The sequence below is a fragment of the Homo sapiens genome, chromosome 8 (assembly GCF_000001405.40).
Source record: "Homo sapiens chromosome 8, GRCh38.p14 Primary Assembly".
Lineage (NCBI taxonomy): Eukaryota > Metazoa > Chordata > Mammalia > Primates > Hominidae > Homo > Homo sapiens.
Window position 1 is genome coordinate 73,063,908 of NC_000008.11, and position 13,204 is coordinate 73,077,111.

At 40.6% G+C, this 13,204-nt stretch overlaps 1 protein-coding gene across 5 annotated transcripts in view; it reads right to left on the minus strand.

Annotated features, from left to right (window-relative positions):
• Positions 1-635: 635 nt before the first annotated feature.
• The window catches only part of SBSPON (somatomedin B and thrombospondin type 1 domain containing), a 28,630-nt gene continuing 16,061 nt past the window's right edge, over positions 636-13,204 (minus strand). For 2 of the 5 annotated variants that reach the window (NM_153225.4, XM_017013145.2), the window contains exons 3-5: positions 7,873-7,963; positions 5,898-6,074; positions 636-3,551 (exon numbers count right to left, since the gene is read on the minus strand). In NM_153225.4, coding sequence (NP_694957.3) covers positions 3,434-3,551; positions 5,898-6,074; positions 7,873-7,963 — 386 coding nt within the window. In that variant the 3' untranslated portion in view covers positions 636-3,433. Of the gene's footprint in view, positions 3,552-5,897; positions 6,075-7,872; positions 7,964-10,611; positions 10,679-11,742; positions 11,837-13,204 lie in introns of those variants that run through there. The other 3 variants (XM_047421408.1, XR_928762.3, XM_024447081.2) reach the window with 3 other exon arrangements.

Sequence of the window (13,204 nt, forward strand, 5' to 3'; positions counted from 1 at the left end):
CTGCTATCGAATGTTAGTTTCACATTCATTTTCCCTCAGAGCTTGGAGGCTTTCTTCTGTTAGATGTTAAGCATGCACTGATGCTGATGAGAAGAGTGCTGTCTTCATGGGGACTCCTGTTCCTTTACAGGTAATCTGTTGTTCTCTCTCTGGAAGGTTATATGGTCTTTTCTTTATCCTTCATTTTCAATTTCACAAATTTGTCTCTAGGGCTGAGAGTCTTTTTATTCATCCTTTGGTGCTTGGTGGGACTGCCCCACCAAGAATGGCTCTCATCTCTGATTCCAGCTTCTTCTGTACCCCGTATTAAAGGATATGGCCCCTTTATTCTGGTTCATCTATCATAGGTTATCATTTGCTTTCAATCGTAAAAAAAATTATTCGAACTGTAGGCTGATTCTGCCCACCTCACTTCTCATCTGCTGTGGACTTATTCTCTTCTGTGAATCGTGTCTCTTCAGTGGGATATGAGGAAGGAGAGAGGGTAAACGTGTGTCTGTCTGTCTTTCACCCTGACCTAGAGTGTGACCTCCCTCACGGTGCTCTTTGTCTGATTGCTTGGACCTCAGAAGGCCCAGGTGTTTGTTTTCTAAGCCAACTTGTGGTTGTTTGTATGAACCTTCACTAGAATATTCTTAGAGGGCAGGAACCAGTTTTATTAACATCAATTTTGTGCACATCTAGAAAAGATAGCTAACTGAAATTTTTATGCCAGATGATAACCAAACACTTTAAATTATTGCTGTTGCGGTTTATGCTTAATTGTAACATTCTCGAATAAAAACCAAAGCAAAACTCCAAAAAGAATACTGTGATTATAGTTACCTTATTCCTTTTTCTATTCTTTTTTTCCTTCACTTGTTTTTCACTTTTCTCTTCAAAAATGGCCATTATCCCTTGCTTCTTTTCCCTTCTTTCCTGGTGGCTGTATTTATTTTTGTTCGAATTATTTTCCATGAGCACTTTTGAAAATCAGTCTATTAAGGGATTTTAGAGTTCGTAAATCTTTTTAGAGTGCCTGGGGATAGGGCCCTAAGACTAAGGTACTTATTAAAAAAGAGTGCCAAGAGGTCTTATATACTTTGATTTTTAAATTTGAAAATAAAAACTTTTGGTTTTTCATTCATCACTTGGACTACATGTTTCAGTTCTGAACTATTTCCCTTGGGCTTTGCTAAAATTAATAACAAGCTTTTCAAAACTGTTATTTAACAGTTAACTCCTCTAGCCCATAAAATTTTCTCAAGAATAGAAATAACAAAAATTTAACTTCAATAAGAAAGCAATTACTGGTCATCCACCAAAAATTAAATGCATAAGGTGAAAAATTTATTTTATACACCTCAATTATGTTAAATGTTATAACACATATCGGAACTATAAAAGCACCATTGCTTTATTGCTATTAGTAGTTGTTGTACCTATACCTATCAGTTCTGAAGGATTTTTTTGTTTTATTTTTGGTGAAATTTTATCATTCTCTGACTGGTCCAGAAAATTTGGGTTATTTTCTAGTCAAACAAATATAGAGCTTTTATAAATGTGAACAAAAAGTTTATTTACTAGTATAAAAATTTTAAGTAACAGGCCAGGCGCAGTGGCTCACGCCCATAATCCCAGCACCTTGGGAGGCCGAGGTGGGTGGATCACGAGGTCAGGAGATCGAGACCACCCTGGCTAACACAGTGAAACCCTGTCTCTACTAAAAAAAAAAAACAAAAAATTAGCCAGGCGTGATGACGGCGCCTGTAGTCCCAGCTACTTGGGAGGCTGAGGCAGAAGAATGGCGTGAACCCGGGAGGCGGAGCTTGCAGTGAGCCGAGATGGGGCCACTGCACTCCAGCCTGGGCAACAGAGTGAGACTCTGTCTCAAAGAAAAAAAAACTTTTAAGTAACATTGGAAATTACCCAGACATAGCTTCAAAAATCTAGCTTAATAAATGTTAGAAACAGTATGAAAATGTTAATACTGACTTAAAGTTGCTAGCCTTGATGAGACTCACATATTTTATTATTAATTTCTGAAGAATTTAATTTTCCACAAAAACAACTTTGACAATTAAATGAAAATACAGTAAAAAATATTGCTACTCTCGGTGTTATTAATTATTGGGGAAATCTCCATCCTTATTGCTGTTGTGAATCTGTCATTACATGATAAGGACCAAGAAATACGTATTTTAGTAAATCATTTGTTAGTGAATATTATTCAATTGAAACCAAAGAAATCTCATGTAGTTTACATCTCAAGACTCAATTCTCTAAACTAAATATCTTGAATTTAAAATTTACTTCACAAATGAAAGGGGCTTAGCTTTTCCAGCACAGTGTTTGGCAAAGTCAGGCTTTTCATGGAGTTCTGGTTGAGGAGTCCAAATTTGGCTCTGTGGCTGACTGCAGAATGACTTGTCATCCCAGGTCCTTAAACATGCCATTTTGCCTCTAGGTCATTGATTTTCCAATCATAAAATAAGGAGACTAACATTTCCTTGTGTGTGTGTGAGATCGTAGCACCTGTAATGACGTCTATGCCTTCCATAACCGACACACCATCCACCCCAAACATTAGAAAATGCATGCGGTAGGAAAAAAATAGTGAGCTTACATCAACTAAACTTGAAGCTGGACTCTGAAAGATTATTTTATTCAGCTTCAGGCTTTAAGCCTTGGAAATAATCTTAGATGCAAATGGTGGTAGAATTTTCAGAATGAAAGCAATTGTTTCATTCACTGGTGTCAACATTTCTTTTCATGAAAATTATAACATTTAAAAGAACTCCCATTGACCTACAATGAGCATTTGATCCTTTCACTTCTTAAGCAAAAAAAAAATTTCTTCTTCAAAAAATGTTTTTAGTATAACTTGGTTTTTCATTACAGAATGCTTACTAAAATTTTAAATAATTTGCCCTGTGGAAAAATTATTTGTGATAATTTGCTTGAAATTATTTCAGAATTTATGGAATATTAAATATATGGAAATATATGTGTAGAGTGTGCATACCTGTATACATGTTTTAAAGTGAGAAACTTTTAAAAGATTATAAAATAGACTGCAAGGTTCAAAACATAGATCCCCTTAAATGACACTTCCGTCACCAATAATCGGACTGAGTTACAGTAATTTTACTTTAGCAAACAGACATGTATTCTGTGTCTCACGGGCCACCTGCTGAATGAGAGGACTCCAGTTGAAAGGTCAAGAACATAAAACCACAAGAGCTTTTTGAGTGGGTCTTCAACTTAGTTAAAATAAAAATAAAGGACCTGTGTTCCTTGAGAACTGGCCCCTAAATTTTCTTTCTCTACTTCAGAGTGTGGCAATGATGTGTTTGGGGACTTTGGCCAAAATTGAAGGTTTAGGAAACATTGAACATGACTTGAGAATATTTAGAATGTTTACAAATGCATTTGGAAATATTTATATCACCATCTATATAAAAATAAAACTGTGAACAGCTGGACAAGAACACTGGTCTACTCGCCGAACTTTTTTCCAAGTTCCTTGACACCGAGGATTACCAATTGCTTGCCAATGGAGAGTCTGATTTCTGAAACGATATTTCGAAAGTGTTAGTTACACTAAAAGCATACCGAAGAAAGGTCTAATTTACAGAATTAAAACTCGGAGTTAAAAAAAACTGATCACAGCCTGAGCAATATAGTGAAACCCCGTCTCTACTATATATATATATATATAGTTTTTTTTTTTTTCTAATTAGCCAGACATGGTGGCACACGCCTATGGTCTTGGGAGGCTGGGTCCACAGGTGCATGCCACCACGTCTGGCTAATTTTTATAAAGAAAAATTATTTGTAGGGATGGAGTTTAACTGTGTTGCCAAGCTGATCTCAAACTCCTGGGTGCAAGGGATCCTCCTGCCTCGGCCTCCTGGCTCACGCTGGGATTAGAAACATGACCCACTGCACCCGGTTCCCCAATTTTTTTTTTAATGATCACAAACAGAGTTTCCCTTGTTTAGTTTCTGTCAAAGCAAGTTTTAATTCATTGCTACTTTAGGACACCCTCATGTTGACAGAGTAACTTGGGGTTACTGTATTTGCTTTTCCCGTTCTATCTGAGCACAAGTGCTGCATAAAGGAAAATGGCTGACTGTTCTATGTGTATTTAAACTGGGAGGTCTGAACTAAATGATCTCTTTTACTGCTTTCCAACTCTGATTTCATAATGAAAAAACAATGAGAGAGCTGAAAAGAACAAAGCCAGATTATTAAAATTATTATTTTTAAAGTCACTGCTACCTCAGCCAGGGTTTAAATACTATATGGGTACAAATTAAATTATAAATTCATTTAAAACCAAAACATGGATGAGGTATTCAGAAAAATATTATGTAAATATTTTCTATTTGATATAAATTCCTTACCCACTTTATTGTTCTTATGGTGTGCTCAATGGAGGCCATGAGGCACTAGTGACTAATAAACATAAATTCTAGTTATTAAATATGAAAACATTCTACAGGAATAATAATTGACTGGAAAGGCCCATATTTTACCTTTTAATCTGTATTTCTACCAGTTACACCTGACATACTGAAAACCATAATCTATGTGTGACCTAAATTAGTCTTTGCCCAATAGTTGCCCAGCACGAAGTTGACTCTTCTTTTAGTTTTGTATAGTGTTATCAAATTTAAACACTAAATAAGTGCAGAACTGGGATACAGGTGCATGACTGTAAAATGTTTTTGGAGTCAATTATTTCAGAGAAATCTACAGATTTATATAAGATTATTATACCGCAGAGGTGACCCCACCACTGTCTCAGTCAGGGTTTTATGAAGAAGCCCCATTGAGCAACAGTTCTGAAACTTCATCGTGGGTATGAATTACCTGGGCAGGGGTCCCCAAACTAGGACCCCGTAGAGGCCAAAGCCGGCCTACCCCTTCTTTGTGTCTGGACTGTGAGTTAAGAATAATTTTTATGTTTTAAAGTGTTAAAATCAAAACAATAATGATATTTTGTGACACATGAAAATTATACGAAATTCAAATTTTAGGGTCCATAAATAAAGTTTTGTTAGAACAAATCCAAGGTTTGCATAGTGTCTGTGACTGTTTTCCTGCTACAAAGTCAGAGTTGAGGGGTTGTCACAGAGACCACACAGCCTGCAAAGTCAAAAATATCTACTCTCTGGCCCTTTACAGAAAAGGTTTTCTGGATCCTGACCTAAGACATTTTTAAAAATCCACCTCCAAAGAGTGATTCAGTTAGTCGGAAATGAGGTTCAGGAATCTGCACATTTTACATCTCCATCTCACGAGATTCTGATTCTAGTGATCTTCAGAACACCACTTTGGAGTGATCAGGTTTTTGGTGATCATTTGGGAATGTGATCTAAACTCCAATATCCTTTTTTTTTTTCTTCTGGAGACAGAGTCTGGCTCTATCACCCATGCCAGAGTGCAGTGGTGCAATCTTGGATCACTGCAACCTCCGCCTCCTGGACTCAAGTGATCCTCCCCAGTAGCTGAGACTACAGGCATGCGCCACCATGCCAGGCTAATTTTTTATTTTTTGTAGACATGGGGTTTTACCATGTTGTCCAGGCTGGTCCCAACTCCTGAGCTCAAGCAGTCTACCCACCTCGGCCTCCCAAAGTGCTGGGATTACAGGCATGAGCCACCACTCCCAGCCCCCAATGTCCAAATGGACCCATATTAACTGCTGGTGTATAGGGCCTGTGGGTTCCATAGTGGGAACTGGAGCCCTGGCCCCAGGCAGTGCCAGAGGATGGTCCTCCTCACCTACTGTTTTGACTTCCCAGTCATCCCTTGATATGTTACATACTGGTCAGCTGTCTGGACATGGAGAGGACAGATTTCTCAGAATGAGTGACAAGAAAAGTACTTCAGTTAATTTCCATTCTTACCCATCGGAGTCCAGGCCATCTCCAGAACAACGAAGGCTCACAGAGTTCATAGCTGGAGGCTGACAATCCACACACACCGTGTATCCCTCTCGGAGATACTGCATCCATCTAGTCAAGGGCCAGTTTTCCAGAGCACAGTGAGGAGTCAAGGACTCTGTCTTAAACTCCATACAGTATCTACAGCAAAAGAAGTAACAATGACACTTGCTGTAATGAGCAGTGGCCTAAAGCTGTAGAAAGTCTTAGAAAGCCTGTCACCTCCAAGGGCATTTGGCCGACTGGAGCAGGTAGTGAGTACATCTTCACAAGTTACGTGTCAATCACCTTTAAGGTTTCTCATTCCCTGAAGCATGGTGAAATATTACTGATAATCACAAAGAACCTTTGTGCCCTTTTTCAGTCCATCATTGAGCTCTCTGGGCAATATAAATGTGCAGAAGTTTGGATATCCTGTATCCTGTCTAATCAGATCACTAAATTGTGCACAGAAGTCCAGGTTTTTGTAGAAACCCAGTCCTTGATAATTTTGCTGATCTAAAGGAATTCTATAAATTGAACAAGCACTTGCTTGAGCCTGAGAACCCTAAAAATGTGAGCCCAGGAGGGCTAGCCCTTAACACCTAGGTCAGCACCTCTGCTGTTCTGCTCCACGAAAGTACCCGGGATCTTCCCCACCCTCTCCACCCACCTCACTTGTATGGTCTGGAGTAATGATGATGAGTTTTGACTTGAAGTCAATTATCACAGTTACATTGGGCATCGCAGGTGAAAGCAGAAGTGGGAGGCTGAGACACACTTTTCTGACAGAAGTTAGTGTCACCTTAAACTGAGCTGCGGAAAACTCTAACATTATATGTGACTGGACACTGAAAGCCCAGGGGAACATCCAGACATGAGGAATATTTTAGAAATTTGTACTTCAGTGCAGTTTTCCAATTCTTCAGGGAAACAAGACATAGTAAAATCTCCGAGTATTGTAACAGAAACTTGTGGCATTTTCAGTTCCATGGGCTAATTTCTTACCCATACAATTATGAGTTGCAATATGTTATAAATGGGAAGTGTTTGGAGAATCTGCTTTAAAGATCTTTAAGAATGATAGGTACAGCTAATTAGTAACTAAAGGTAACAAGTATCTTTAGTTATTGAGGTAAGAAATCCTACAATGTGGCTTCAATCAATTTCAGAGAGCTAAGCCCAGACAGCTCTTTTTAAAAAAGTATTTATTTTTCATAGAGATGGGGTTCTCACTATGTTGCCCTGGCTGGTCTCAAACCCCTGGGCTCAAGCAATCCTCCTGCTCCAGCCTCCCAAGGCACTGAGGTTACAGGTATGAGCAACCAGGCCCAGCCTCAGGCATCTCTTCAATGTTATTTTCTCATTAAATGCTCATACCAACCTCATGTGGTAGGTTATTAACAGTCTCATTTTTTAGGAAGAAAAAACTGAGGTGGAACAAGTTGTTCAAGGTCTTATGCTAGTGAGGGCAGTGTGGGGACCTGAGCGTGCAGCTGTCTGGTATCCCTTATCTGACAGCAGAAGAATGGATTTCAGCTGAGCGTGAAGGTGACTTCCAGCCTGTACCAATAGGTTTCCATAAGAAACCTCTGAGTTGAAGTGTGTGTCACTTTCAAATTCACCAAACAGAGGTGGTGCTGAAGTCTAACGTCCCATAAAGACTGTAAGAGAAGCATCCTTAGTATGATTGATAAAATAAGCTCACAAAATAATCTCATTTGTATATAGTTTGTTTCTTGTTGAAGATTGGACCTAAGAGGTAGATATATCTTTATAGCTCCACAAAAACCAGGAGGGGACAAGTATTTTCCCAACTCTGATGAAGAGTCCATATTTTAGCCAAAGTCAAAGAGCAAGTAGAAAGAAGAAGAAAACATAAACCAAGTTGACCCTCTTGCATTGACTTGACTATACAATTGAAAAACATGATTAAAAAAAAAAAAAAACACGAAATTACCCAGCATCCTCTGTGTGTGTAGACCAGTGTGGAGACGTAGCTTGTCGTGTTCTCTCCTTGTTGAATGCAGAGGTAGTTATAAAGGCAGGAACTGGAAAAGGGAGATTTCTGTTGAATTCAGGGAGCCAAAGTACTCAGACCATCGTTTCCCAATTTTGGTTTTGTACCTGTCTAAGGGTCTCCATTCCTAAACTCACAGGGCTACGGCACACCATCAAGGTGTGAAATGAGGCCAAGTTACAAATTCAATAAAGATGTGTGTGCACACAGATCGGTAGGGAGGGGGCCTGCAGGCCTTTGACAAGCACATTTGTCTGCAGTAATAAAACTGTGTGAGAGGAAGGAGAGGGGCCAGGAGGAAAAACCAGAAGGAAAGGAAGATGGGGGTCAGAAGGGGAACAAGGGAAAAAGTGAGATAATAGAGAGCATGAAGAGAAGAGGAGGTTTCAAAAATGAAAGGAAGAGAAATAGAGAAAGAAAGGGAGAAATAAGATAATAAAAGAATAGAAAGGAAACAAAGAAGGATAGAGAGAAGACAAAAGAGAGTAAAAGCGGATGGAAGGAGAGAAAACAGACAAACAGAGAAAAAAATGAGAAAGGAAAAAAGCAGCTGGCGTGTTGGCTCATGCCTGTAATCCCAGCAGTGTGGGAGGCCATGGTGGGTGGATCATCTGAGGTCAGGAGTTCAAAATCAGCCTGGCCAACATGGCAAAACCCTGTCTCTACTAAAAATACAAAAATTAGCCGGGCGTGGTGGCAAGTGCCTGTAATCCCAGCTACTCAGGAGGCTGAGGCAGGAGAATCACTTGAACCCGGGAGGCGGAGGTTTCAGTGAGCCGACATCGCGCCCCTGCACTCCAGCCTGAGCAAAAGAGTGAAACTCCGTCTCAAAAAGAAAAAGGCAGAAGAAGCAGAGGAGGAAAGAAGGTGAGTCTTCCCCAAGCCTCAGGTAACCACAGCAGGAAAAGTTCATGGAAGCTCTGCCCACCACATAGTATCAATGTGGCTGCCCAGTGCCAGCCTGCACAGCATTGTCCCCACACCAGCTCAGGGAAAGAAAGTCTTCAGTGGTCCCCTTCTTTTCCCTCTTCCTCCCCACAACCCTCCCCCAACTCTGATGCTCTGGGTCAGAGAAAAAAAAATGGCACCAAGAATCCTTCCTCCTGTCTCTGCTCACTTTAATTCTATTGTGTTTGTGTGTCTCCTCTCTACCTCATCACTAAGTCTAGGGAGGCATTTGTTGCTATAATAACACCTATAGGTGTCAGTCTCCTGGACTGACTCTGTTGTCATCTTGAGGAAGGCAGGGTTTTGCCTTGTCCATCACTATAGCTTCACACATTTACACACTCAATAAATATTTGTGCAAGGAATAAATGGGCCAGTGAGTGAATGAATGAGGTCATGGGCTTGCAGCCAAGACACACAGGCCCTACTTCCCTGCAGTCTTCCGTTCCTATACTGAGCCTTGCAGCCAAGATGGCTCAGCAGTCCTCTACCTCTGTTTCAGAAACTGCGCGATTCCAGGAAGGGTAGATACAAGCTGATATCAACTTATGAGACGCCAAAGTCATCATCAACATGAACTCAACAATGTGAGGATACTGGTTGCAAAATAGATGCTTGAAGCCTACATGTTGATTTTACCTGTCTCTTTACTATCCCAAGATGACAAACCTTAACTCTTTTTGAGCTTTTCTTAATGAGGAGTTATTTTTGTATTACTAGGGAATTTAAGACAAAAGGCCAGGCACAGTGGCTCATGCCTGTAATCCCAGCACTTTGGAAGCCCAAGGCAGGCAGCTCACTTGAGGCCAGGAGATCAAGACCAGCCTGGCCAACATGGTGAAACCCTGTCTCTACTAAAAATTTTACAAAAATGAGCCAGATTTTGTGGCATTCGGCCATAGACCCATCTGTTCGGGAGGCTGGGAAAATCACTTGAACCCAGGAGGTGGGGGCTGCAGTGAGCCGAGATCACACCACTGCACTGCAGCCTGGGCAACAGAGTAAGACCATCTCAAAAAAAAAAAACAAAAACAAAAACAAAAAAAAACAGACAAGAGCAGCTGCCTAATACCGGGTAGCCACTTGTTCCTGTGTGGCTCTTTTTTGCTGCACTGACATGTTTAATTGTTTTCTAAATGTGACTGTAGCGTTTGCATTTCTAAGATCTACAGACAGAATTAGAAAGAACAAGAGAGTGCATGTATATCAGGATCCCTCTCTGTTTCTCTGAGACCTAATTATCAGAAACACAAACATCTAAAGGATTTAATTCTCCCATACATTTTCATTTCTGTTCTTCAGACACACATATGTGTTTCTTCACTAAGTGAAGAATCAATTTACTGCTAAATCCATGCAGCATTACACAAGTCCACCTGTAATTTTTTGGGGATTCTTTAGCTCAGATATTTATGTAATCAAATTTGTACTGCATATATCATTACAAAAGTTCAAAGGCAAGGTACTTAATGTATAGCTCAGAAAAAGAGGCTATGAAGTGGAAGGAAAACATAAATATATGATTCTAGTTTCTGATACAAAATTCTTGGAAAAGGTTCTATAATAATAAAAATACGCACTTCTAAGTTTCCAGGGACAACTCTAAGTCACTTTTCAGGTATTAATTTATTTAATTCTCACAAGCCTCTTGAGATAGATCCTATTATTTCCCCATTTCACAGACAAGAAAATTATGGCACAGAGAGGTTAAGAAATGTGTTTAAGGCTCACATCTAAATATAGCACAGCCAGGCAACGTCTCCGAAATCAAACTCCTCAGGGCGGCACTCCACTGCCTCTGTAATAATATAGATGACAAAGTTCCAGTACTGTTTGCAGCATCTTTCCCATGAATTATTTAAATTTGGCTTTATTTTCCCTTTCTGTCACGAATCATTATGCTCTATGTGAAGTCAGATTTAAGAAAGGAAAAGAGAAACTTTTAGCCCCTTGTATCTGGAGTCACCTCAGTCCATGAGAGAGGTAAGGAGGCCAGGGAGGGCACACAGTGGGTGCAGGGTCACCCTCTGGGTACCATGGCCCCTGGTATGTGTATAGCCTGCTCATTTACAAAGTAATTTCACATCATGTGTTACCTTCAACAAAAACTTTGTAAAAGGGTGTTATACCAATTTCATTCATCAGAAAACTGAGGCTCACCGAGGTTAAATGAAGGGAAAATAAGTAGTAAGTGACTAAGCAAGGACCCAGCACAGAAGCTATCTTCTGAGGGCTTGGGGGTTTGCATTTTTGTTTTCCATTTTCTGTTTGTGGTAGAGATGGGGTCTCACTCTGTTTTCCAGGCTGGTCTTCTGGGGCCCAAGCAATCCTTCTGCCTTGGCTTCCCAAAGTGCTAGGATTACAGGCATCTGCCACCAAGCTTGGCCCATCTGTTTTTCAGGACTTTCTATCAAGCTCAGTTTCATGCTCTTGGGATTAGGGTGCATCCTAAGAGCAAGCCAGGTACCCAGGGCTGTCCCCAGGCCTTGGGCTTGGTGGTGGCACATTCTATTGCCAAGGTCCCTCTCACATGAGCCAGACTGCCTGGAGGTCCCAGAACCAGCATCACTTTTTAATACACCCCCCCCAAATTCACTTTTCATTACTTAAGTAATGAAATAACTTAGAAATTATTTTTGCCTCCCGCCACACTTCTGCTAATGTGCGGAAGCACGTAACCCAGCATCCCTGGGACAAAGGCCCCCAATAAATCTAAGTTCCCCTTCCTGGCAACAGTATTCAAGTGCAATATATTCTTTGTTCACAGGCGATTTGCCAATGTTTCTGGCGTTCTATCAGCCTCCCATTGTTTGGTTTTACAACAACTTCCACTTCTAAAAGCAGGGCATTGCATATACTTACTTTGAACATGAAAGTAAATTAAATTTGCTTTGAGAATTTCATAACGCCCTCTGACACAATGGGGTGTCACAAAAGCAGGCCTGGGATCACTGGTCTATAGTACAGAAGAGAGTAAAATGAAAAATTGACAAATAATATCTACCTAGAGGCATATGGTTTATAATAATGCACATTGATCTCCTTTTAGGAGGAAAACACATATATATAAACAATTGTCAATGATGTGCAACACATTCAGTAATGTGGCTTTTTAAATTTGTTTTTATAATAAAAATATAATTATGGTATGCATTAAATGAAACAGGAAAAAGGAAATAGCTACTCAGTCATTAATAAGAGAGCTTCAGGGATCATGTTTCCTTCACTAGCTTCACGGGCATTTATATTTCTACTTAGTTACAAGAATCTGTAATTACAATTTTAGCTGTAATGATGACAGTTAATAGCAAAACACTATTGAGGTGGGAAAATCCCATAAGACTTAGAGCCGGGAGATCCAGGTTTTAGTTCCAGTAGTCCTTCACACGTGCTGTCACCTCTCAGAACTCCAGTGTCCTCAGGTGTAAACCAAGGATAATGACTCTGTCCTACCTCTCTGTGGAGGCAGAATTGTGGCCCCCAAAGAATGTCCATGTCCTGATCCCCAGAATCTGTGAATATGTTATATTACATGGGAACAAAGAATTAAGGTTACAGGTGGAATTAAGGTTGCTGCTCAGCTGACCTTAAAATAGGAAGCATAGCCTGGGTTTTCCAGGTGGACCCAATGTAATCACAGGATCCTAAGAAAGAGCTGGTCAGAACTTGGCCAGCAGGGCGAAACCCCATCTCTACTAAAAATACAAAAATTAGCCGGGTGTGTTGGTGCGCGCCTGTAATCCCAGCTACTCGGGAGGCTGTGGCAGGAGAATCGCTTGAACCTGGGAGGCAGAGGTTGCAGTGAGCCATGATCACACCACTGCACTCCAGCCTGGGCAACAGGGCAAGACTCCATCTTATATGAAAAGAAAAAAAAAAAGATGTGGCAACGGAAGAAAGGCACCGAGAAATGCATTGTTGCTAGCTATGAGGATGGAGGACGGCGGCAGTGAGGAAAGGATGTGGGCAGCCTCTGGAAGGTGGAAAAGGCAAGGAAGAAGAGTCTCCCCTAGAGCCTCCAGAAAGGCCTGTAGCCCAGCTGACACCTTCATTTTTGCCTGGGGAAACCCATGTCAGATTCTGATCTTCAGAAATGTAAGATCATAAATCTGTGGGGTTTTTTGTTTTGTTTTTTTGAGACAGAGTTTCGCTCTTGTTGCCCAGACTGGAGTGCAATGGCACAATCTTGGCTCACTGCAACCTCCACCTCCCAGGTTCAAGCAATTCTCCTGCCTCAGCCTCCCAAGTAGGTAAGATTACAGGTATATGCCACCACACCCAGCTAATATTTTATTTTTAGTAGAGATGGGGTTTCACCATGTTG